The sequence below is a fragment of the Homo sapiens genome, chromosome 22 (assembly GCF_000001405.40).
Source record: "Homo sapiens chromosome 22, GRCh38.p14 Primary Assembly".
NCBI classification, from domain to species: Eukaryota; Metazoa; Chordata; class Mammalia; order Primates; family Hominidae; genus Homo; species Homo sapiens.
The window spans coordinates 39,095,967-39,118,305 of NC_000022.11; the positions used below are offsets into that span (position 1 = coordinate 39,095,967).

The following is a 22,339-nucleotide window of genomic DNA, read 5'->3' on the forward strand; positions in this document are numbered from 1 at the left end:
AGACGAGGACATGGGTTCCAGAATGCAAATGTGAAGTCCAGGTCCTTCATCTCTGACCTGGGAGGCCCTTTAGGAGCAGTAAGTCCCCTCCCTCGTGTCTCCTCTCCTGCTCCTTTCCATGGAGCAATGAAGAACCTCAAAGTAGCTAGCTGTGGGGGAGAAGGGACACAGGAAGTCCTGGCCAGCACTCCAGCTCTGCTGTTGATTTGCTGTGTGACGTGGGGACAGTATCTTAGCCTCTCTGTGCTTGGGACCTCCTCTGACTGTCAGGATCACTGCCCTCCCCTCCCAGTGCTATCTGGGGACTGGGCTAGATAATGGGCACTGGATCCGCTGGAGATGCAGTCCTGAGCCTGACCCCAGTGCTCATTTCACATCAGGCTCAGGGTCCTGCCAGGAGGCTGAATGCCAAAGGTCAGTGGGGTGGTGGGGAGGGGGCTGCAGCCTGCCCTGTCCACCAGGGGAGTGGCATCTGGTCTATGGTGTCAGCCCTGGTCTGGATCCCTGCTCCTTTCTGTGGCTTCTATTCCTTTCATTTATTTTAGTTTAGTTTAGTTTTTGAGACGGAGTTTTGTTCTTATTGCCCAGGCTGGAGTGCGGTTGGCCAGGTTGATTTTGAACTCCTGACTTCAGGCAATCCACCTGCCTCAGCCTCCCAAAGTGCTGGGATAACAGGCACCGTGACCAGCCATCAATTCCTTTCTTTTTTCTTTCTTTTTTATTTTTATTTATTTATTTATTTTTTGAGACAGGGTCTCGTTCTGTTGCCAGGGTGGAGTGCAGTGGTGCGACGTCGGCTCACTGCAACCTCTGCCTCCAAGGTTCAAGCAATTTCCCTGCCTCAGCCTCCCAAGCAGCTGGAACTACAGGCGCAGGCCACCAAACCTGGCTAATTTTTTGTATTTTAGCAGAGACGGGGTTTCACCATGTTGGCCAGGATGGTCTTCATCTCCTTACCTTGTAATTTGCCCACCTCAGCCTCCCAAAGTGTTCGGATTACAGGTGTGAGCCACCGCATCTGGCCTTTGTTCTTTTGTAAACTATACCTGGGGAGGGAGTTGAGTCTGGCTGTACCTGGAGAGGGAATTGGGGGTGGGAGGATGGGAGGTGAGCCACCTCCATCAGACTTCCCCTGCCAAGCCCGAGGAAATAGAGAAAGAAAGGAGCCTGAGGGATCTGAAGCACCCCAGGGCCCTCCCACTCCAGTCCCACAAAAGGAAGAGGGTGGAGCCACCCTCATCAAGCAGTGACTTTTTGTGACTTTTGGGAGAGCTGACCTTTTGTGACTTTTGGGAGAGCTGCCAAAAGTGAAACTTAGTGCCTCAGACAAGCAGGGGCAAGTCTGCTAAGGAAGCTGTGGCCAGAAGCACAGATCAGGTACTGCCGCCCACTCTGTCCACTGGGCCCTCTGCTGCCACTTCCTGCCTGGCAGCCCTTCTGTGCCTCAGCCCTGGCCTCCCGCTGCCCCAGCCCCAGCCCTGGGCTCCTTCTCCTCTGGCTCCCCTGCCATCCCCACTCCCACCCAGGCTCTTTGCCCTGCTGTGTGGTCACCCCACTGCTGCTTCTGAACGGGCCGCCTCCCCGGCCTGCACCAGCCCAAGACCCCTGCTGAGACTCTCCCCTAAGAGTCATGGCTGGGCTAGTGCTCCCCACCTTGGGAGGGTGCTCTCTCTGTGTGCTTCCTGCCATTCCTGGGCTCTGGAACTGGGAGAACTGAACTAAAGGATGATGGGAGCAATCTGGAATTTTGTTCACAGTGCTTTGATGAACTTTGTGTAAGATTACTTTGTTTCAATACAAAGTCTTAGGAGAGGGTGTGGGGAGGCAATGATCTCTGAAGCACAAGGCAAATCATCTCTTCCAAGGATGTCTCCACTGTGGGCAGAGGAGGATGCAGATGACCCTGAACACACACTCCTCCTCCATGATCAGTATTCACATTCACCGTTTATAATGACACCAGTAACACGGAATATACGGAAAAACTCAATGATCAGGAGAAATGCTTTTATTTTAAAATTTAGGAAGAAGAGAGCCTGGTTCCCAAAGGCTCCCTCCTGCAGGGCCCGTGATGCAGAGGCTGGCAGGGCTGGCCAGGAAAGTGGCCCAGCTCCATGGCCTGGGCAGGTTACCCCACCTCTCTGCACCTCTGGCCCCTCCTCTGTAAGATGAGAATGGCCCCTGCAGGCCTAGGGCAGCCTCACGTGAGCTCAGATCCTCTCAGCACTTAGAAGAGTGGCCTGGGCCTGGGGATGGAAGTGCTACCCTGATTTTTTGTTTCGTTTTGTTTTTTTGAGAAGGGGTGTCTCAGTCTGTTGCCCAGGCTGGAGCGCAATCTCGGCTCACTACAAGCTCCACCTCCTGGGTTCACGCCATTTTCCTGCCTGGCCAGGCAAAATGGCTCATGCCTGTAATCCCAACACTTTGGGAAGCTGAGAGGGGAGGATCATCACTAAAGGCCAGGAGTTCCAAACCAGCCTGGGCAACACAGGGAGACCCCCTTATCTACTAAAACTAAAAAAATAAAATAAAATAACATGAATAGGTAAAATGCCAGGAATTAATTGAACTGAAATATTAAGAGCTCTTATTTTGAAGGGGAGAATTTTATTCACTTTTCTTATTTTTAATGGGTTAGAGGATGGGTGGCAGAAATACTGGGAGGATGGGAGATCCATCCCTGGAAAGACCAGAGCTAGGGCCCTGAGCTGGGAGAGGTCACCCCGGCCCTGCTGCCCCTGCCAGCATCTCCTTCTCTTCTCCTCTCCCTGGTCTTCCTGCTTGGGAAAGCTGCAGAAATTCTCAGGACTTGGAGGCTTGAAATGCTCAGGGGTTTTCCAGAAAGCAGAATAGAAAGTAGATGGGCAACCATCAATCAGACAGGCCAAAGAAAAGGAGCTCAGGCCCTCGGGGAGACAGGAGGTGAGCGCATGGGTCACAATCCTGGCGGGGCGCGGTGGCTCACGCCTATAATCCCAGCACTTTGGGAGGCCGAGGTGGGTGGATCACCTGAGGTCAAAGGAGTTCAAGACCAGCCTGGCCAACATGGTAAAACTCCATCTCTACAAAAATACAAAAATTAGCCGGGCATGAAGGAGGGCGCTTGTAATTCCAGCTACTTGGGAGGCTGAGGCAGGAGAATTGCTTGAACCCGGGAGAATCACTTGAACCTGGTAGGTGGAGCTTGCAGTGAGCTGAGATTGGACCACTGCACTCCAGCCTGGGCAACAGAGCAAGACTCTCTCTCAAAAACAAAAAAAAAGCAAAATCCAAAATTGAATCCTCTGTAGAATGTAATCACAATTCAGGAGAGCAAAATCTATGTAATTTCTTCAGCCAAAAATGTGTCACAACACTCCCTTGGTGACAACAGCTTTTCTGTTCACTCAACTGTGTTCTGTGCAGACAAACTTGTCAAACACACACCTGAGCAAAGAGCACAGTGCTGGAGGAAGCCCCAGTTTCCACCCCATCACTCCCCAAGGGGAAGGGTTCTGGTATTGGACATGTAGGGGTCGAGAGGCCTGTGGACCTCAAGGAGGGGGTGTCCAACTGCAGCTGGAAAGAGGGATCTGGGACTCAGGCCAGAGGCGTGTGAGCAGCTCAGAGCAGCTCTGAGCCCAGGGGAGCCAGAAAGGCACACCCACAGTTCTCAGGCAGGGGATCCCCACCCAACCCAGGAAGAATAGTGACGAGGTCGGGGCATCCCCATGCAAAGAGCCTCAGCTGTGGGCAGCAGCCGGTGCCCTCCCAGGTGGGAGGATGGGAGATAGCAGACAAGGTGGGAGGGAGCACTCCCCTCCTCCTGTCCTCCTGCCAGCCCTTCCTTCCCCTGCTCCACTGCAGTCCTCCTGGCCAACAACTAAAGGGGAGACCCTCCCTCACCAAGGGGAAGGGCCCAAATGAACAGAAAGGGTTGGGTTTGGCTGGGCGCAGGGGCTCACACCTGTAATCCCAACACTTTGGGAGACCAAGGTGGGTGGATCACCTGAGATCAGGAGTTCGAGACCAGCCTGGCCAACATGGTGAAACCCCGTCTGTACTAAAAATACAAAAATTAGCCAGGCGTGGTGGCAGGCATCTGTAATCCCAGCTACTTGGGAGGCTGAGGCAGGAGAATCGCTTGAACTTGGAAGGCGGAGGTTGCAGTGAGCCAAGATCGGGCCACTGCACTCCAGCCTGGGCGACAGAGCGAGACTCTGTCTCAAAAAACAAAAAAGAGTTGGGTTTGAAAAGTGGCTTGAGCCTGGGGTGACTCAAGAGGACGCTCCCTTCATCTTTGGTTTTCCCCTTTCTGTTGCACAGAAACACGATGGCTCTGTTAACAGCCGAAACATTCCGCTTACAGTTTAACAACAAGCGCCGCCTCAGAAGGCCTTACTACCCGAGGAAGGCCCTCTTGTGTTACCAGCTGACGCCGCAGAATGGCTCCACGCCCACGAGAGGCTACTTTGAAAACAAGGTGCCACACGGGCTCTCTGGGCACAGGGCCGGCAGGGGCTAACCCCATCTGATGTGTGCAGAAAATACATGAAATGCCTGCCTATAAATTTCTCAATTTTTGATGTAACACCCTCTGTGTTTTCGTAACCCTTGGTGCCTGCCTGGGTTTTGGCTTAGCTGGATCTGAGTGGCCCAGTTTCCCTAGGACACTCCCATTCTTTCCCGTCCCCGGACCTCTGAAGAGGCCAACCCTTCTGTAGAATGCTCCTTCTGCCCCTCTCATTTACTCATTCTCCCGATCTCAGCTCAGTCACTACTTCGGGAAAGCCGAGGTGCCGTGCCACGGTCCGAGTGCAACTCCATCACACCCCTGTCCTCTCCGCTCTATTGCCAGCCCCTACCTGCCCTGCCTCCCCGCCTCCCCGCCCCCCGCCCCGGCTCTCACCTGCTCTTTAGGATCATCCCGGGTTGGACACAGCCTCCTAGGCGGGTGTCCAAAGGCAGGGTCCACAGAGCTTCGGGACTGGGGCGTGGAGGTGTTGTCTCCTCCTCTGGACACAGGGATCTTTGTCCAATTTACAGAAAGATGTGGAAGTCCTGGGACAGATGAATTAACACACGGGTGCGTGAGTGCAGGGCTGTATAAACCAGGGAAGGCAGGAAGCGGGTGCTTGCCCTGCACTAGGCCAGGCCACGCACTAGAAAGTTCACCGGACAGACCCCTCTGCCCCCCCATCCCCGCCCCCGTCCCGGCCCCCGCCCCCAGTCACATGACTCCTGGCCTCTCTCTTCTCCCCTCCCTTCTCTCTGTTTGGGACCCTCCCCAGAAAAAGTGCCATGCAGAAATTTGCTTTATTAACGAGATCAAGTCCATGGGACTGGACGAAACGCAGTGCTACCAAGTCACCTGTTACCTCACGTGGAGCCCCTGCTCCTCCTGTGCCTGGGAGCTGGTTGACTTCATCAAGGCTCACGACCATCTGAACCTGGGCATCTTCGCCTCCCGCCTGTACTACCACTGGTGCAAGCCCCAGCAGAAGGGGCTGCGGCTTCTGTGTGGATCCCAGGTCCCGGTGGAGGTCATGGGCTTCCCAGGTAGGAAAGAGGCTTTGCAGTTATAAGAGTGCAAACCCCCGGGGGCACAGGCTTGGCAGGGGCTGGGGGTTGGGGGTTGGGGGTTGGAGGAGGTTGGCGGGGGGCGGGGGCGGGTTGGAGGAGGTTGGCGGGGGGTGGGGGCGGGTTGGAGGAGGTTGGCGGGGGGCGGGGGCGGGTTGGAGGAGGTTGGCAGGGGGTGGGGGGGTGGCGGGGAGCGGGGGGTCTGTGGGAGGCCAGGAAGGAAGGATTGTGGCTCAGTCAAGGCCCAAGATCTGACACCACCCGGGAGGGAGAATTCCCCAGACAGAGCAATGTCCAGGGAGAGGAAGAGAAGAGAGGGGAAAGGAAGCAAGAGCTCCTGGCACTGCAGCTGCTGCCCCTGGGGCCTGGCTGGTTTCCCTCTTCCCTCTCAGAGTTTGCTGACTGCTGGGAAAACTTTGTGGACCACGAGAAACCGCTTTCCTTCAACCCCTATAAGATGTTAGAGGAGCTAGATAAAAACAGTCGAGCCATAAAGCGACGGCTTGAGAGGATAAAGGTGAGGCACTGTCCTGCCTGCTGCCCCCGACCTCCTCACCGCCTGCCGCAGCCCCATACCCAGTCACACCTCTGCCCACTGCCCTTACCCCTACCTTTTTTTCTTTTCTTTTCTTTTCTTTTTTGAGACAGGGTCTCACTCTGTCACCCAGGCAGGAGGGCAGTGGTGTGATCTCGGCTCAGTGCAACCTCTGCCTCCCGGGTTCAAGTGATTCTCCTGCCTCAGCCTCCCGAGTAGCTGGGAGTACAGGCACTCGCCACCATGCCCAGCTAATTTTTGCATTTTTAGTAGAGATGGGGTTTCACCATGTTGCCCAGGCTGGTCTTAGAACTCTTGGCCTCAAGTGACCTGCCTTCCTTGGCCTCCCAAAGTGCTGGGATTACAGGTGTGAGCCACCGTGCCCCGCCCCACTACCTGTTTCTTTTTTGTGTTCTCCTCTCGCACCAGGGGCTCCTTCTTGTTCTTTTAGATTCCAGGGGTACGTGCGCAGGGTCGTTACATGGATATATTGTGTGATGCTGAGGTCTGAGTCACCCAATCTACTGGAACATAGCACCCAATAGGTAGTTTTTCAACCCTGGCCCCCCTCCCACCCTCTCTTCTTTTGGAGTCTCCAGCGTCTATTATTTACATCTTTATGTCCATGTGTACCTCTCACCATATACAAAAATTAACTCGGCCAGGCACAGTGGCTCACGCCTGTAGTCCCAGCACTGGGAGGCCGAGGCAGGTGTATCAAGAGGTCAGGAGTTCGAGACTAGCCTGGCCAACATGGTGAAACCCTGTTTCTGCACCTATAATCCCAGCTACTCAGGAGGCTGAGGCGGGAGAATTGCTTGAACCCAGGAGGTGGGAGGTTGCAGTGAGCCGAGATCATGCCACTGCACTCCAGCCTGGGCAACAAAGCAAGACTCTGTCCCAAAAAAAAAAAAAAAAAAAAAAAAAAAAATTAACTCAACATGTGCTGAGCATGAGGACTCATGCCTGTAATCCCAGCACTTCAGGAGGCCAAGGCGGGTGGATCACTTGAGCCCAGGAGTTCAAAGACCAGCCTGGGCAACATGGCAAATCCCCATCTCTACAAAAAATACAAAAATCAGCCAGGCATGGTGGCATGTGCCCGTGGTCCCAGCCATTCGGGAGGGTGAATGGGAGATTGCATGAGTTCAGGGAGGTGAAGGCTGTAGTGAGCTGAGATCGTGCCACTGCACTCCAGCCTGGGCAACAGAGTGAGGCTTTGCTTAAAAAAATAATAATAACCCAAGATGAATTAAAGACTTAAATGTAAGACCTCAAACTATAAAAATCTTAGAAGAAAACCCGGGAAATATGAAATACTCTACTGGACACTGGTCTATGCAAAGAATTTATGATTAAATTCTGAAAAGCAGATGCAACCAAAACAGAAATTGACAATTGGGATCTAATTAAATGGAGCACAGCAAAAGAAACTATCAACAGAGTAAACAGACAATCTCCCTTTTCTAAGATGCTCTTGTCACCTCCGTGTTTTTCTCCAGGCCTTCTGGGCCCTTCTGGTGCCAGTTCTTTTCTCTTCCTAATGATCTCATCCTCACCTCTCCCTCCCTTCCTCCCTGTGGTGTCCCACCAGTTGGTACCTCCTAACTTCTCTCTTTCCCTCTCAGCAGTCCTGAAGTGTGGATGTTTTAGAGAATGACTTAAGAAGTTTGCAGCTTGGACCCGTATCCCACTCATTATCAAGAAGCAACTCAAGATGACTTTCCCTGGGGCATGTCAGTTGCCTCATAGCCTGCTGGTCCTGTAAGCAAGCACTAAGCTCCACAGTGCCAGTTCCTTGCCCCAACCTGGCCCCATCCAAGTACAGAAGACCTTCCTTTCCTCCTTTTTCCATATTGCTTTCTGTTCTAAGTGGGTGAATAATTTTATAATTGAAAAAATAAAGATAAAGTCTGTAAATCCAGCCGGGTACGGTGGCTCACGCCTGTAATCCTAGCACTTTGGGAGGCTGAGATGCTCGGCCAATAAATTTCTATTGTTTATGAATCACCCAGTCTGTGGTATTTTGTTATAGGACATATGGACTAAGATACTGAGTTAAGGCCAGGTGCGGTGGCTCATGCCTATAATCCCAGCACTTTGAGAGGCCGAGGTGGGTGGATCACCTGAGGTCAGGAGTTTGAGACCAGCCTGACCAACATCGCGAAAACCTGTCTCTACTAAAAATATAAAAAATAGCCAGGCATGGTGGCACGCGCGTGTAATCCCAGCTACTTGGGAGGCTGAGGCAGGAGAATCACTTGAACCTAGGAGGTGGGGGTTGCAGTGAGCCGAGATCACGCCACTGCACTCCAGCCTGGGCAAGAGAATGAGACTCCATCTCAAAAAAAAATAAGAAAAAAGGCCAGGCACGGTGGCTCACCAAAATGCTGTAATACCAGCATTTTGGGAGGCTGAGGCAGGTGGATCACCTGAGGTTGGGAGTTTGAGACCAGCCTGACCAATGTGGAGAAATCCCGTCTCTACTAAAAATACAAAATTAGCCTGGCGTGGTGGCGCATGCCTGTCATCCCAGCTACTCGGGAGGCTGAGGCCGGAGAATCGCTTGAACCTGGGAGATGGAGGTTGCAGTGAGCTGAGATAGCGCCATTGCACTCCAGCCTGGGTAACAAGAGCAAAACTCCATCTCAAAAAAAAAAAAAAAAAAAGAAAAAAGAAAAGTACAAAGGATTTTATTCTACAGCACCAAAAAAATAAAAATAAAAAAACAAACAACAACAACAATGCTCTATTGAAGGAGTCTCTGTTGAGTCTAGAATCGCTGCATTATTTTGTAGTCCAGGTAACCTCTGTCCTTTCTCAGTATCTGTGTTCAAATAAATAAGGTCAAACTCTATGGAGCAGAGGTGCCCACAAAATTGATTGAAAAAAGCAAAAAACAGCCAAGTGCAGTGGCTCACGCCTGTAATCCCAGCACTTTGGGAGGCTGAGGTGGGCAGATCACAAGGTCAGGAGTTCGAGACCAGCATGGCGAACATGGTGAAACCCCGCTCTACTAAAAATACAAAAAAATTAGCCGGGTGTGGTGGTGGACACGTGTAATCCCAGCTCCTCAGGAGGCTGAGGCAGGAGAATTGCTTGAACCTGGGAGGCAGAGGTTGCAGTGAGCTGAGATCACACCACTGCACTCCAGCCTGGGTGACAGAGCGAGACTCTATCTCAAAATAAAATAAAATAAATAAAAATTATAATTATTTATAGTCATTTCCACAGTTAATTGCTTAAGGCTGATGCAGTTTCTGAAAACTTCAGAAGCATGCAAAATCCTAGAATATGGTATCTTTTAAAAGGTTCATAAAAGGACTCTGAAAAGCACCTTTGAATACAGGTTTCTAGTAACTTTAAAATCATATCATGTAAAAATAAATAAATTTTGAAAGATCACATCATAAGTAAGAATTTCCCATGAATTCCACAATTCCCCAAGAATTGGACTGGGTAAGAATTCCTGTTGCTTCAATAAGAAAAGAAAACAACTGACTGGTTTATAAAACTGCTAACACAAGTAAAACAAAAATTCATGAAATACCAAAAAACTTTGCCAGATTATCATGCTAAATCGGCCAATATTAAAATTGTTTAGATATACAATTTGAATGAACTTTATGGTCTAAATCAAATTACCTATGATAACCCATTAGTTATCACTGCTATGCACCTAGATTGGAGAAGCAGCTGGTATTCAAGAGGACATAAGTCCAGTGTTAAGCATGGACTCATGGAGAACCAGGACGGCCGCCTTGTCCTTCCTGAGTCCTAAAAACTTTTGTTATTAAAGGTTCTATATTCCATGACTCATCATGGAAAAGATAAAATAATCCAAATTGAATATGTGGACTTACAAATTGAGGAAATAGTTTATTTTTATTTATTTATTTATTTTTGAGATGGAGTTTCACTCTTGTGGCCCAGGCTGGAGTGCAATGGCGCAATCTCAGCTCACTGCAACCTCCACCCCCCGGGTTCAAGCGATTCTCCTGCCTCAGCCTCCCGAGTACCTGGGATTACAGGTGCCTGACACCACGCTCAGCTAATTTTTGTATTTTTAGTAGAGACGGGGTTTCACCAGGTTGGCCAGGCTGATCTTGAACTCCTGACCTCAGGTGATCCATCTGCCTAGGCCTCCCAAAGTGCTGGGATTACAAGCGTGAGCCACTGCGACCGGCCAAGGAAATAGTTTAAAATCAATGTTTGGTTGCATATTCTTGGGAAGACAATCAAAGCTTCAGGTACATTTGGCTGCGTGATGGGCCATTTAAACATTTATAAAGGGATTTCATTCAATTGTCATTTTCAGTGCTTTTTTTTTGGTTGTATAAAAGCTTTCCCATGCAAGAGGGCTAATGTAGCAGTAGATTATTGTGCTACAGTGTATTTTCACCAGATAAAGAAAGCTTTGTGTGGTTCACTGAGGACAACCCTTTCACAATCCAGAACCCGAAGAATGGATCTTCTGAACATCAGAGAAAGACTGTCCTTGCCATCCACATTGCAGCAAAACTTTGGAACCTTGAACTTTGGGTTCATAATCTCACAACTGAGAAGCGACCCTCCACATTCTTGGAACTGTTCACCCACCAGAACCCTTAAAGTAAAACTAACCAGAGATGTCACTCCCCAGAAGAAGATGGCATCCTTAATGTGAACAGCTTTTCCCAAGATCACAGATCAAGACTTCTCTAGGCTGGGCGTGGGGGCTCACGCCTGTAATCCCAACAATTTGAGGTGGGAGGATCACTTGAGGTCAGGAGTTCGAGACCAGCCTGGCCAACATGGTGAAACCTCTTCTCTACTAACAGTATAAAAAATTAGCCAGGCATGGTGGTGGTGCAAGCCTGTAATCCCAGCTACTCAGAAGGCTGAGGCAGGAGAATTGCTTGAGTCTGGGAGGCGGAGGTTGCAGTGAACCGAGATCGCGCCACTGCACTCCAGCCTGGGCAACAGAGTGAGACTCCATCTCAAAAAAATAAAAAAAGGTTTTTCTATTATCGTGAGACTCTTATCCTTGAATATTTTTTCTTATTTATGCCTCTATGAACAATAGAAGTGGAAAAGGGGTCTATTATGTGCACTTATGGGGTATACTTTTATTTGTAAAGGAGTTTGCAGCCAGCCTTATATATGAATAACCTTATACTTTAATAGATAAAAGATAAAGGCCCAGTGTAGGTGAAAAACTTTAATGGTACATATGTTGCCTCATAATAAGTCAGAAACAGAACATTCATTCATGTCTCTTAACCCACATCACGAGTTAAAGAAAACACTGCCTTTACTCTTCTAGAAGGACATCATTTGTTAGGTCCTTTTTCCATAGTTTAGAATAAAAGTGGCAATACTTAGTATGTATCCCTCACAATAGACTCTATAGCAGATTCTACTTTTTTTTGGGTGGGGGGGGTAACAGAGTCTCCCTCTGTCACCCAGGCTGGAGTGCAGTGACACGATCTCGGCTCACTGCAACCTCTGCCTCCTGGATTCAAGCAATTCTCCTGCCTCAGCCTCCTATGTAGCTGGAATCACAGGCGCCCACCACCATGCCCAGCTAATTTCTGTATTTTTAGTAGAGATGGGGTTTCACCTTGTTGGCCAAGCTGGTCTCGAACTCCTGACCTCAAGTGATCCGCCCGCCTCGGCCTCCCAAAGTGCTGGGATTACAGCATGAGCCACCACAGCTGACCCTTTTTTTGTTTGTTTTTAAGATGGAGTCTCGCTCTGTCACCCAGGCTGGAGTGCAGTGGCGTGACCTTGGCTCGCTAGAACCTCCGCCTCCCGGGTTCAAGCGATTCTCCTGCCTCAGCCTCCCCAGTAGCTGGGATTACAGGCACGTGCCACCATGCCCAGCTAGTATTTGTATTTTTAGTAGAGACAGGGTTTCACCATGTTGGCCAGGCTGTTCTCAAACTCCCGACCTCAAGTGATCCTCCCGCCTCGGCCTCCCAAAGTGCTGGGATTACAGGAATGAGCCACCATGCCCGGCCAGCAGAGTCTACTTTAAAGGGTAGCATTATACAGCAGACTTTAAATTCTCTTGTGAAAGTTATGCTGAACAATAGAATTCACGAAACAGAAAAGTACCTGGGCTGCTGTTGACACTTGTGGCCTGTGGAGAAATACATCAAATGTAGGTTACACAAATTCAGTTGTAGTAGATTAATGAAAAGACTACTTAGTCAAGATGAAGAGTAGACTCTTCATCCAGCTCATTTTCTATTTAATTTTAAGGTTTGGTGTATGGGGACCCTGGGTACTCCAAATTCTTGGTGTTATCCTCCCGATAGTCATAATAGTCTCCCTGATGTGCTGTATTCTCTCAAAGGTTTTTAATGTTTGTACACAGCCAGCTCTAAAACATCAAATGGTCTCTCTTCAACTGGAATGACAAAAGCTAAAAGAAATGTGTGACCATGAGGTCACCATGACCTATGAATGACATGCTGAGACCCACAACCCAAAATGATAACAGAGTGGTGATAAGGCCCTAAGTTTTGGTCACACTCTCACTTAAGTGAGAACCTGGCCAAAAAGGGGGAATTTTTAAAACAAAATTAAGGACGGCCATTATTTTGGACTGAGCTCATACACTAGGCCTCAACAGACCAAACCAAACAAAATGGAGTCACTCGTGCTAAATGTGACATAATCAAACTAAGACTTTAACGAAACATAGATCCTAGAACACACCAGGTTTTGTTTTTCTCCTGTAAACAGAACATCCCAGCATAAAGGGGTACCGTCTACTCAGTTCTTGTTCCCTCCTCACAAAACCTACTGTTCTACTGTTTCCCAGTGGGTTTCAAGACCAAATAAGCACATTTATGATGGTAACAGTGACATCAATGACTAATGTTTTCATCAGTCTCTCAAATTGAGAAAATTATCAAAAGGGGGAAACTGGCCAGGAGTGGTGCCTTACACCTGTAATCTCAGCACTTTGCGAGGCTGAGCAGGCAGATCATGAGGTCAGGAGATCAAGACCATCCTGACTAACACGGTGAAACCCCTTCTCTACTAAAAATACAAAAAGTTAGCTGGGCCTGGTGGTACGCACCTGTAGTCCCAGCTACTCGGGAGGCTGAGGCAGGAGAATCACTTGAACCCAGGAGGCGGAGGTTGCAGTGAGCTGAGATCGCACTGTTACATTCCAGCCTGGGCGACAGAGTGAGACTCCATCTCAAAAAAAAAAAGAAAAAAAAAGAGGAGGGGGATTGTTATAGCAAACTAAATATGGCCTGAGAAGGACTCCATACTTCTATATTTGAGTCCTTGTGGATGAACTGTAACCTAGCTTAACAGTCAGACAACATTTAAAACCTCATTTAGGAGTATGCACCTGTAACAATAACTGAGGCTGGGCCAATCCTAGCAGCCATACTTCAATCACTCATAGACTGCTGTGTTCAAACTGTGTTCAAATAAAGTAAACGCTAACCTGTAAGCAATCCGTCTGTTTCTGTACCTCGCTGCCGATTTCTGTATGTCATTTCCCCTTTTCTGTCTATAAATCTTTTTCCACCACGTATCTGCACTCAGTCTCTGTGAATCTGCTGTGATTCTGTGGGCTGACCGATTCGCAAATTGTTCATTGTCCAATTAAACTCCTTTAAATTTGGGCCAGGCACCTGTAATCCCAGCACTTCGGGAGGCCGAGGTGGGCAGATCACCTGAGGTCAGGAGTTCGAGACCAGCATGGCCAACGTGGCGAAACCCCATCTCCACTAAAAATACAAAAATTGGCAGGGCATGGTGGCAGGCGCCTGTAATCCCAGCTACTAGGGGGGCTGAGGCAGGAGAATCGCTTGAACCCAGAAGGTAGAGGTTGCAGTGAGCCGAGATTGACCCATTGCACTCCAGCATGGGGGATGGAGTGAGACTCAGTCTCTAAAAAAAATAAAAATTAAAATTAAAAAACTCTTTTAAATTTAATTCAGCTGAAGTTTTTCTTTTATCTGTACCGAGCTTAATACCTGGGTGATGAATTAATCTGTACAAAAACCCCCATGTCACAAGTTCATTGTCGATAAAAAGAGTAAAACTCTGTAAAATATTTGAAGAGATTTATTCTGAGCATAATATGAGTGACCATGGCCCATGACACAGCCCTCAGGAGGTCCTGAGAACATGCGCCCAGAGTGGTCAGGGCGCAGATTGGTTTTATGCATTTCGGGAAGGAATGAGACATCAATCAAATACATTTGAGAAATACATTGGGCTGGACGCGGTGGCTCACGCCTGTAATCCCAGCACTCTGGAGGGCTGAGGCGGGTGGATCACAAGGTCAGGAGATCGAGATGATCCTGGCTAACACAGTGAAACCCTGTCTCTACTAACAATATAAAAAATTAGCCGGGCATGGTGGCGGGCGCCTGTAGTCTCAGCTACTTGGGAGGCTGAGGCAGGAGAATGGCGTGAACCCGGGAGGCAGAGCTTGCAGTGAGCCGAGATCGTGCCACTGCACTCCAGCCTGGGTGACAGACCAAGACCCCGTCTCAAAAGAAAGAAAGAAAGAAAGAAAGAAATACATTAGATTGGTCCAGAAAGGCGGGACAACTCAAAGGTAGGAGGGCTTCCAGGCTATGATAAATTTAAACATTTTCTGGTGAAGCAGGGGTTAAAAGAGAAAAACAAGTTTCCTCTTGCTAGGCTGACCCACTCCAAGACCTGGTGATAGGCAGCAGAGCTCTGGCAAAGATTTGATAACTATCTGCAAAACCAGAGCCCTCAAAGGATGTGCTCCAGAGCCCCCTCCCCTCCCAGTTATGGGCAAGGACGAGAAAACAGGTTCTTCTCCTATCCCAGCTCCCCACTCCCCTCTTAGTAACCCTTCCTTAGTGAAACTCAAGGTTACTTTACAAAGTTTTACGGATTCCTGTTTCTCCTCTGTGTAACATAACAAGGTCATCAGACATGCTCAGGTAAGACATGTACCAGCTGTAAATCCTGCCTTAGTTTGGTAAGTTCCTGTTTTTTCCTCAGGTTGCAAAACCTGTCACTGTATGATTAACTGCCTTTGTTCTGCCTCTGTAAGTCCGCTTGCCTGCCTTGTAAGCTTTGTGCAACTAGATGGCCAACCCCCTCAGTTGTATGTATAAAAGTCAAGCCCCGTCTTTGTTCAGGGCTCAGCCTTTCGGATGCGAATCTGCTGAGCCGGTGCACACTTTAATAAAATCCTCCTGTTTCACCCATTTGGTCTCTTTGGTCCTTTGATTCCTACAACACTAGTTGACGATTTGCTTGTGATACCCTACCTTGTTTAACCTGAGTAACTCTCTCCTAGCAGAGAGAGAGCCGGACAGACTCCATTTTAGTTTCTTCACTTGCAGCCTCCCTTAAGGCATAACTAGTGTAAACCGACTCACAGCACGTCCAGGAATGCACCTACTGAGAAGATACTGAGGCAAGCTGCACTAGCAGCTCCTGGGGACGCGCGTGGTGGATGGCACCCAAAACCCCTGCATTTATCTCTTCGTGATAGTTTAGGCCCCTGCACCTGGAACTGTTTATTTTTTGTAACTGCATTTGTAACCAATTAATTTTTTTAACTTTTTGCCAGTTCTGCTTCTGTAACAATTGCCTCAGCTAAACTTCCCCCTCCCCTATTTAGACCATGGTATAAAAACAAAACTAGCCCCTTCCTCAGGGCTGAAAGAATTTTGAGCATTAGCTGCCTCTCGGTCGCCGGCTAATAAAGGACTCCTTAATTTGTCTCAAAGTGTGGCATTTCTCTATAACTCGCTTGGTTACAGCAGCTGAGCTGTCTAAAGACCTGGGATCACTAGGATCATAGAAAAGAAATGTTCAGGTTAAAACATTGTGGAGACCAGCCAGGTGCAGTGGCTCACGCCTGTAATCCCAGCACTTTGGGAGGCTGAGGCAGGTGGATCACCTGAGGTCAGGAGTTTGAGACCACCCTGGCCAACATAGTGAAATCCCGTCTCTATTAAAAATACAAAAATTAGCCAGGTGTGATGGTAGGTGCCTGTAATCCCCCACTCCAAAGGAAAAAAAAAAGACTGCAGAGACCAAGGTTCTTTTGAAGTCTTATAGTGGCTGCCTTTAGAGATAATAGATGACAAATGTTTCCTATTCAGATTTTTTTTTGAGATGGAGTCTCGCACTGTCGCCAGGCTGGAGTGCAATGGTATGATCTCGGCTTACTGCAACCTCCGCCTCCTGGGTACAAGCAATTCTCCTGCCTCTCAGCCTCCCGAGTAGCTGGGATTACAGGCACCCACCACCATGCCCGGCTAATTTTTTGTATTTTTAGTAGAGACGGGATTTCTTTATGTGGGCCAAGCCGGTCTCAAACTCCTGACTTCGTGATCCACCCACCTCGGCCTCCCAAAGTGCTGGGATTACAGGTGTGAGCCACCACGCCTGGCCCTATTCAGATTTTTTAAAGGTGCTAGACTCCTAGTTAATCTGTTTAGGATTGGGAGGGCCTGGATCTAGCTACATTAATAGAGATTCTTTACAGTTGCAAATTTTCCCCCACAAAGGACAGCTTTGCAGGGCCATTTCAAGATATGGCAAAGAAACATGTTTTAAGATAAAATATTTTTATTTTCTTCCTTGTCTCGTAATGCTATGCCAGAGTCAGGTTGGAAAGTGAGTCACGATATGTAGGGTTAAATAAAACCCATCTAGTGAGAATTTATGATTTGTAGGGCATGACTCCTCAGATCCCTTAGATAGGAATTTGAGCAAAACAAAAAAATCACAGTGTAGTCCTCATCACCCATGTAACAAACCATTCGTTGTCCCCCTGTACCTATAATCAAAGTTTAAAAAATAAAGTATTTTTGAAAAGAAAATGCAGTATATACAAACAGTAGAATATTAGGAGATTCTATCATGTGCTACAAAGTAGGTGGTATGTACACATAGTAGAATATTATTCAGCCTTGAAAAAGGAGATTCTGTCATACCTATAATATGTTTATAATAAAAGTTTTAAAATATACCCCTGTACCTATAATAAAAGTTTAAAAAATAAAATAAAGTGTTTTTTGTTTTGTTTTTGTTTTTGTTGTTTTGAGATGGAGTCCCGCTCTGTCGCCCAGGCTGGAGTACAGTGGCACGATCTCGGCTCACTGCAACCTACGCCTCCTGGGTTCAAGTGATTCTCCTGCCTCAGCCTCCCGAGTAGCTTGGACTACAGGCACTTGCCACCACGCCTGGCTAATTTTTTGTATTTTTAGTAGAGACGGGGTTTCACCATGTTAGCCAGGATAGTCTCAATCTCCTGACCTCGTGATCCGCCCGCCTCGGCCTCCCAAAGTGCTGGGATTACAGGCATGAGCCACCACGCCCGGCCAAATAAAGTAGAAATAAAGCCAAATAAAAAAGAAAATGTGGTATATACAAACAGTAGAATATTAGAAGATTCTGTCATATGCTACAAAGTAGGTGGTATATACACATAGTAGAATATTATTCAGCCTTGAAAAAGGAGATTCTGTCATGCACTACAAAATAGGTAAACCTGGAGGACACTATAGCAGGTGAAATAAGCCAGTCACAAAAAGACTAATACTGCATGATCCCACCTCCTTGAGATATCTACAACAGTCAAACTCAAGGAAACAGAATGTAGAACAAGGGCTATCTGGGGCTAGGGGAGGGGGAAACTGAGAGTTGTCATTCAATGAGTATAGAGTTTCAGTTTTGCAAGATGAAAAAGCTCCAGAGATCTGTCACCAAACAATGTAAGTATAGTTAACAACACTGGGCCAGATGAGGTGGCTCATGCCTGTAATCCCAGCCTCCCTGAGGAGGGCGAATCGCTTGAGCTCAGGAGTTCAAGACAAGCCTGGGCAACATGGTGAAACTTGTCTCTACCAAAAATAGAAAAAAAAAAAAAAAAAAAGCCGGGCATGGTGGCGCATGCCTGTCATCTGAGCTACATGGGAAGCTGAAGTGGAAGGATTGGTGGACCTAGGAGGTGGAGGTTGCATTGAGCCGAGATCGCACCACTGCATGACACAGTGAGACCCTATCTTCAAAAAAAAAAAAAAAAAACCCACTGAACTGTACACTTAAAAATGGTTAAGAAGCCAGATGTAGTGGCTCACACCTATATTCCCAGCACTTCCCAGAATTTATGGTTTGTAGTGTAATGCCTAACTTTGTTTTTTACTAACCTTATTTTAACCTTGTTTTTACTAACCCTATTTTTAAATGTTCCCTTTTTGTCTCCTTAATTACCTAGCCTTGTTTCCCATATGAATAGACTCTCCCTTAGCGGGGAAAGCCGACGAACTCCATCTGGCCCCTTGATTTACAAGACGTTAAGGGCTCCTTACCCGACCCCCTTCGTCAAGGAGTTAACCTGTGTAAGCTGATCCTCAGCATTTCAAAGGAGCTCAATGAACTGATAAGGTACTAGAACAAACAATGTATGAAGTTCCCAGGATTTTGCTCAAAAAGATAACAACATAAAGCCTTGAGTCTGTGTCCGGCATAGCATCCATATCTAACTCTTATGAAGGATTTAGAGCCCCGCACCTGGTTCCGTTGCTTTTTTTGTAACCATTTGTCTTTTAAATTGTTTATTTCTCTGTAACCATTTGTTTTTTGATTCTTGCGTGTTTTTACTTCTGTAGAATTATTGCATTTGAGCTCCCCTCCCCTTCCTAAACCAAGCTATAAAAGTAAATCAAGCCCCTTCCTCGGGGCCGAGAGAATTTTGAGCGTTAGCTGTCTCTTTGGCCACCGGCTTAAATAAAGGACTCTTAATTCGTCTCAAAGTGTGGCGTTTTCTCTAACTCGCTCGGGTATAACAGTAGGGCATGACTCTTCAGACCCCTTAGATAGGAATTTGCACAAGCTGAAAAGATCAGAGCTTAGCCCACACAAAGTAGATGAATAGGAGAAAAGGCATACTAATTTATTAACATGTCCATGAGAGAGAATGACAGAGGGAGCACTCCAACCCCACAAAGAGCTGTAGCAGTTCATATACCATCTTGAGGTTACAGAAAGATTTGGGGCTTGGATCCTGGCAAAACAGGCTATGGGAAAGGGAGAAGAGGAGGCCTGGCTGGCAAAGGTGGTCTTGTTATGTAGATGAAACCTCACAGATAGCAGTCCTCGGAGGAAAAAGATGGTAAATGTTTCTTTCAGAGTTTTAGGGTGTCAGAATCTCAGTTCCTCTTTCCTAGATCTGGACAAGGGAGGGCCTGGGAGAAAACCAGGCTGCAGCAATGCAGATTTTCTACAGATGCAAATCTCCCCCACAAAAGACCGCTTTTGCCGGGCGCGGTGGCTCAAGCCTATCTGTAATCCCAGCACTTTGAGAGGCCGAGGTGGGCGGATCACCTGGGGTTAGGAGTTCAAGACCAGCCTGGTCAACACGGGGAAACTCCATCTCTACCAAAAATAGAAAAAAAAAAAATTAGCTGGGTGTGGTGGTGTGTGCCTGTAATCCCAGCTACTCATGAGGCTGAGGCAGGAGAATCGCTCGAATCCAGAAGGCGGAGGTTGCAGTGAGCAGATATCATGCCACTGCATTCCAGCCTGGAGGACAGAATGAAACTCAGTCTCAAAATAATAATAATAATAGAAGACCGCTTTGCAGGGCTGCTTCTGTTTGCAGGAGCAGCCATCTCAAAATATATCAGAGAAGGATATTTTGATTACCTTTACTAGCCTTTCAGGTCTCAGAAGCAGATAGATGATGATGGATAGATGGATGGATAGATGAATGGATGGATGGATAGATAGATAGGTAGATATGAGGACTAAGCTCTGCTTTTTTTTTTTTTTTAATCTTGCCCAAATTCCTATCTAAGGGGTCTGGGGAGTCATGCCCTATAAACCATAAATTCTCATCAGATGAGTTTTATTTAACCCTCTGTTTCATGACTTACTTTCCAATATGATCGCTGAAGGGGTTCACCTTGCCCACTGCCTAGACAGAGCTGATTTATATCAAGACACAGCAATTGCAATAGAGAAAGAGTAATTCACGCAGAGCAGGCTGTGCAGGAGACTGGAATTTTATTATTACTCAAATCAGTCTCACGGAAAACTTGGGGATCAGAGGTGGTTTTTTGTTTTTTGGTTTTTGGTTTTTTCTAGAAGGAGACTTGCTGTCATCCAGACTGGAGTGTTACCGGTGGTGACAGTCTAGCACCTTTTAAAGGTCTGATAGGAAACATTTGTCATCTCTTGTCTCTAAGGGCAGCCACTATGAGACTTCAAAAGAGACTTGGTCTTCACAGTCTTTTATTTTATTTTATTTTATTTATTTTTGAGACACAGTCTAGTTTTGTCACCCAGGCTAGAGTGCAGTGGACCTCTGCTCACTGCAACCTCCCGCCTCCTGGGTTTGAGAGATTCTCCTGCCTCAGCCTCCCGAGTGGCTGGGATTACAGGCGTGCCACCATGCCTGGCTGATTTTTATATTTTTAGTAGAGATGGGGTTTCGCTGTATTGGTCAGGCTGGTCTCAAACTCCTGACCTCAGGTGATCCATCCGCCTCGGCCTCCCAAAGTGCTAGGATTACAGGTGTGAGCCACTGTGCCCAGCCACAATCTTTTATCTTAACCTCAACATTTTCTTTCTGTTGATCCCAGGTCTTTAGACAAACTAAACCGACTGTCAAGCAGAAAATGTTTAAATTTACCTATAGCCTGGAAGCCCCCTGACTTCGAATTGTCCTGCCTTTCTGGACCAAACCAATATATGTCTCGAATGTATTTGATTGATGTCTCATGCCTTCTTAAATATATATAAAACCAAGTTGCACCCCAGCCACCTTGGGCACATGTTCTCAGGACCTCCTGAAGGCTGTGTCATGGGCCATGCTTACTCATATTTGGCTCAGAATAAATCTATTCAAATATTTTATAGAGTTTGACTCTTTTCGTTGACAGATAGACAGACAGATACTGGCATAGGAATAGACAGGCAAATCTAAGACTTTTAATCTCTCTCTTTTTTTTTTTTTTTTTTTGAGATAGCATCTCACTCTGTCACCCAGGCTAGAGTGCAGTGGCGCGATCTCGGCTCACTGCAACCTCCGCCTCCCGGATTCAAGTGATTCTCCTGCCTCAGCCTCCCGAGTAGCTGGGATTACATGCGCTCGCCACCATGCCCAGCTAATTTTTGTATTTTTAGTAGAAACGGGGTTTCACCATGTTGGCCAGGCTGGTCTAGAACTCCTGACTTGAGGTGATCTACCTGCCTCAGCCTCCCACAGTGCTGGGATTACAGACGTGAGCCATCATGCCCGGCCTTGATCTCTTAATTAAAACATCAATTTGCTGGAATAACAGGATGTATTTTTCTTTTATCATGCAGGACGGAGATGAGTAAAATCTCAGTAATCCTCTTCAGGGTTGACACAGCCCCCTTTTTTAAGTATTTAAGTGCTTAAGGAATATACAAAGATGTTGATTACAACATTATTACCAGGAAATATGGCTATCAATTAGAACCGAAGGCTTCTTCTCAAAGGTTAAGACTATTTTCATATTGAGGTAGTTCAGCAGGGCTGGTTTCACAAGTTACAGATCACAAGGACCCCCTGATAAAACAGGATGCGGTAAAGAGGCCCGGACCAAACCTGCCAAAACCTCTGATCATCCTCACCGCTCATTATATGCTAATTAAAATTAATTCTTGTGCTAAAAGACGCTACCGCTACCACCAGTGACTTGACAGTTTTACAAATGCCATGGCAACATCTATACATTACCCTGTATGGTCCGAAACGGGAAAGAGTCCTCAGTTCGGGGAATCCCCCACCCGCTGCCCAGAAAATTCATGAGTAATTGAATGAATAACTGTTGATAACCTTCAAGTCATGTTCAACAGTAAGCAGGCTTCCAAAGCAATCCACCTTGGGAGCTGTAACCCAGCCTATGCTATAACAACCATAAGATGTTGGTTACTTATTTTCTTCTCTGTTCTTTTCTTCCTCCACATGTGGTCATTGAAGTAGAGGGTGTTCACCAATTCACTAGTAATTGATTAACGTCACATTCTGCCCCCTGGAGGCTGCCTGCAAGATTCATGAACTTGTTTTGCTTCTGAAGAATGAAGATCCTGAGGTCATGCGACCTCCTTGGCGATGTCCAGAAGTTTGATTGACGAAGGGACGCAAACAGCTTTGATCATGGGGGAATCTCACCTCCCGCCCTACCCACCTTACAAAGGAAGGTCAGATTCGAGAGTTTGGGTCTCCCATCCTCAGGCCGTGGCCAAATTGAATAAACC

General features: G+C 47.4%; 1 protein-coding gene across 7 annotated transcripts, besides 8 other annotated features; it reads left to right on the plus strand.

Moving 5' to 3' along the window:
• Positions 400 to 1,599: an enhancer, noted in NCBI's record as "BRD4-independent group 4 enhancer chr22:39492371-39493570 (GRCh37/hg19 assembly coordinates)". NCBI's record gives its function as "activates an origin of replication core promoter dependent on BRD2, P300/CBP, MED14 and CDK7 cofactors, and independent of BRD4, by STARR-seq in HCT116 cells {active_cell/tissue: HCT116}" and the evidence as "EXISTENCE:reporter gene assay evidence [ECO:0000049][PMID:35650434]".
• Positions 400 to 1,809: a biological region, named in NCBI's record as "BRD4-independent group 4 enhancer GRCh37_chr22:39492371-39493570".
• Positions 922 to 1,809: an enhancer, noted in NCBI's record as "H3K27ac-H3K4me1 hESC enhancer chr22:39492893-39493780 (GRCh37/hg19 assembly coordinates)". NCBI's record gives its function as "activates a minimal SCP1, AML or CMV promoter by ChIP-STARR-seq in primed H9 embryonic stem cells {active_cell/tissue: H9 hESC(primed)}" and the evidence as "EXISTENCE:reporter gene assay evidence [ECO:0000049][PMID:30033119]".
• Positions 1,140 to 1,479: an enhancer, noted in NCBI's record as "active region_19030". NCBI's record gives its function as "activates an Ori minimal core promoter by ATAC-STARR-seq in GM12878 lymphoblastoid cells {active_cell/tissue: GM12878}" and the evidence as "EXISTENCE:reporter gene assay evidence [ECO:0000049][PMID:35858748]".
• APOBEC3H (apolipoprotein B mRNA editing enzyme catalytic subunit 3H) lies at positions 1,278 to 8,101 on the plus strand. Of its 7 annotated transcripts, none has more exons than XM_011529990.3 (6): positions 1,278 to 1,377; positions 4,306 to 4,462; positions 5,271 to 5,538; positions 5,952 to 6,076; positions 6,524 to 6,639; positions 7,723 to 8,101. In XM_011529990.3, exons 2-5 carry the CDS (start codon positions 4,313 to 4,315, stop codon positions 6,590 to 6,592), a joined length of 612 nt encoding a protein of 203 aa, XP_011528292.1. In that variant the 5' UTR covers positions 1,278 to 1,377; positions 4,306 to 4,312; the 3' UTR covers positions 6,593 to 6,639; positions 7,723 to 8,101. The 7 variants fall into 7 exon arrangements, with proteins under 7 accessions (XP_011528292.1, XP_011528293.1, NP_001159475.2 ...); XM_011529991.4 differs by having other exon boundaries at positions 7,726 to 8,101; NM_001166003.3 differs by having other exon boundaries at positions 6,546 to 6,639.
• Positions 1,810 to 2,696: an enhancer, noted in NCBI's record as "H3K27ac-H3K4me1 hESC enhancer chr22:39493781-39494667 (GRCh37/hg19 assembly coordinates)". NCBI's record gives its function as "activates a minimal SCP1, AML or CMV promoter by ChIP-STARR-seq in primed H9 embryonic stem cells {active_cell/tissue: H9 hESC(primed)}" and the evidence as "EXISTENCE:reporter gene assay evidence [ECO:0000049][PMID:30033119]".
• Positions 18,002 to 18,976: an enhancer, noted in NCBI's record as "OCT4-NANOG-H3K27ac-H3K4me1 hESC enhancer chr22:39509973-39510947 (GRCh37/hg19 assembly coordinates)". NCBI's record gives its function as "activates a minimal SCP1, AML or CMV promoter by ChIP-STARR-seq in naive H9 embryonic stem cells {active_cell/tissue: H9 hESC(naive)}" and the evidence as "EXISTENCE:reporter gene assay evidence [ECO:0000049][PMID:30033119]".
• Positions 21,775 to 21,874: an enhancer, noted in NCBI's record as "active region_19031". NCBI's record gives its function as "activates an Ori minimal core promoter by ATAC-STARR-seq in GM12878 lymphoblastoid cells {active_cell/tissue: GM12878}" and the evidence as "EXISTENCE:reporter gene assay evidence [ECO:0000049][PMID:35858748]".
• Positions 21,885 to 22,034: an enhancer, noted in NCBI's record as "active region_19032". NCBI's record gives its function as "activates an Ori minimal core promoter by ATAC-STARR-seq in GM12878 lymphoblastoid cells {active_cell/tissue: GM12878}" and the evidence as "EXISTENCE:reporter gene assay evidence [ECO:0000049][PMID:35858748]".

Coding starts and splice junctions, on each gene's coding strand:
- APOBEC3H (XM_011529990.3), top strand. CDS start 4,313: ATGGCTCTGTTAACAGCCGAAACATTCCGCTTACAGTTTAACAACAAG. Junction 4,463..5,270: donor GAGGCTACTTTGAAAACAAG/GTGCCACACGGG, acceptor GACCCTCCCCAG/AAAAAGTGCCATGCAGAAAT. Junction 6,077..6,523: donor GACGGCTTGAGAGGATAAAG/GTGAGGCACTGT, acceptor CTCTCGCACCAG/GGGCTCCTTCTTGTTCTTTT.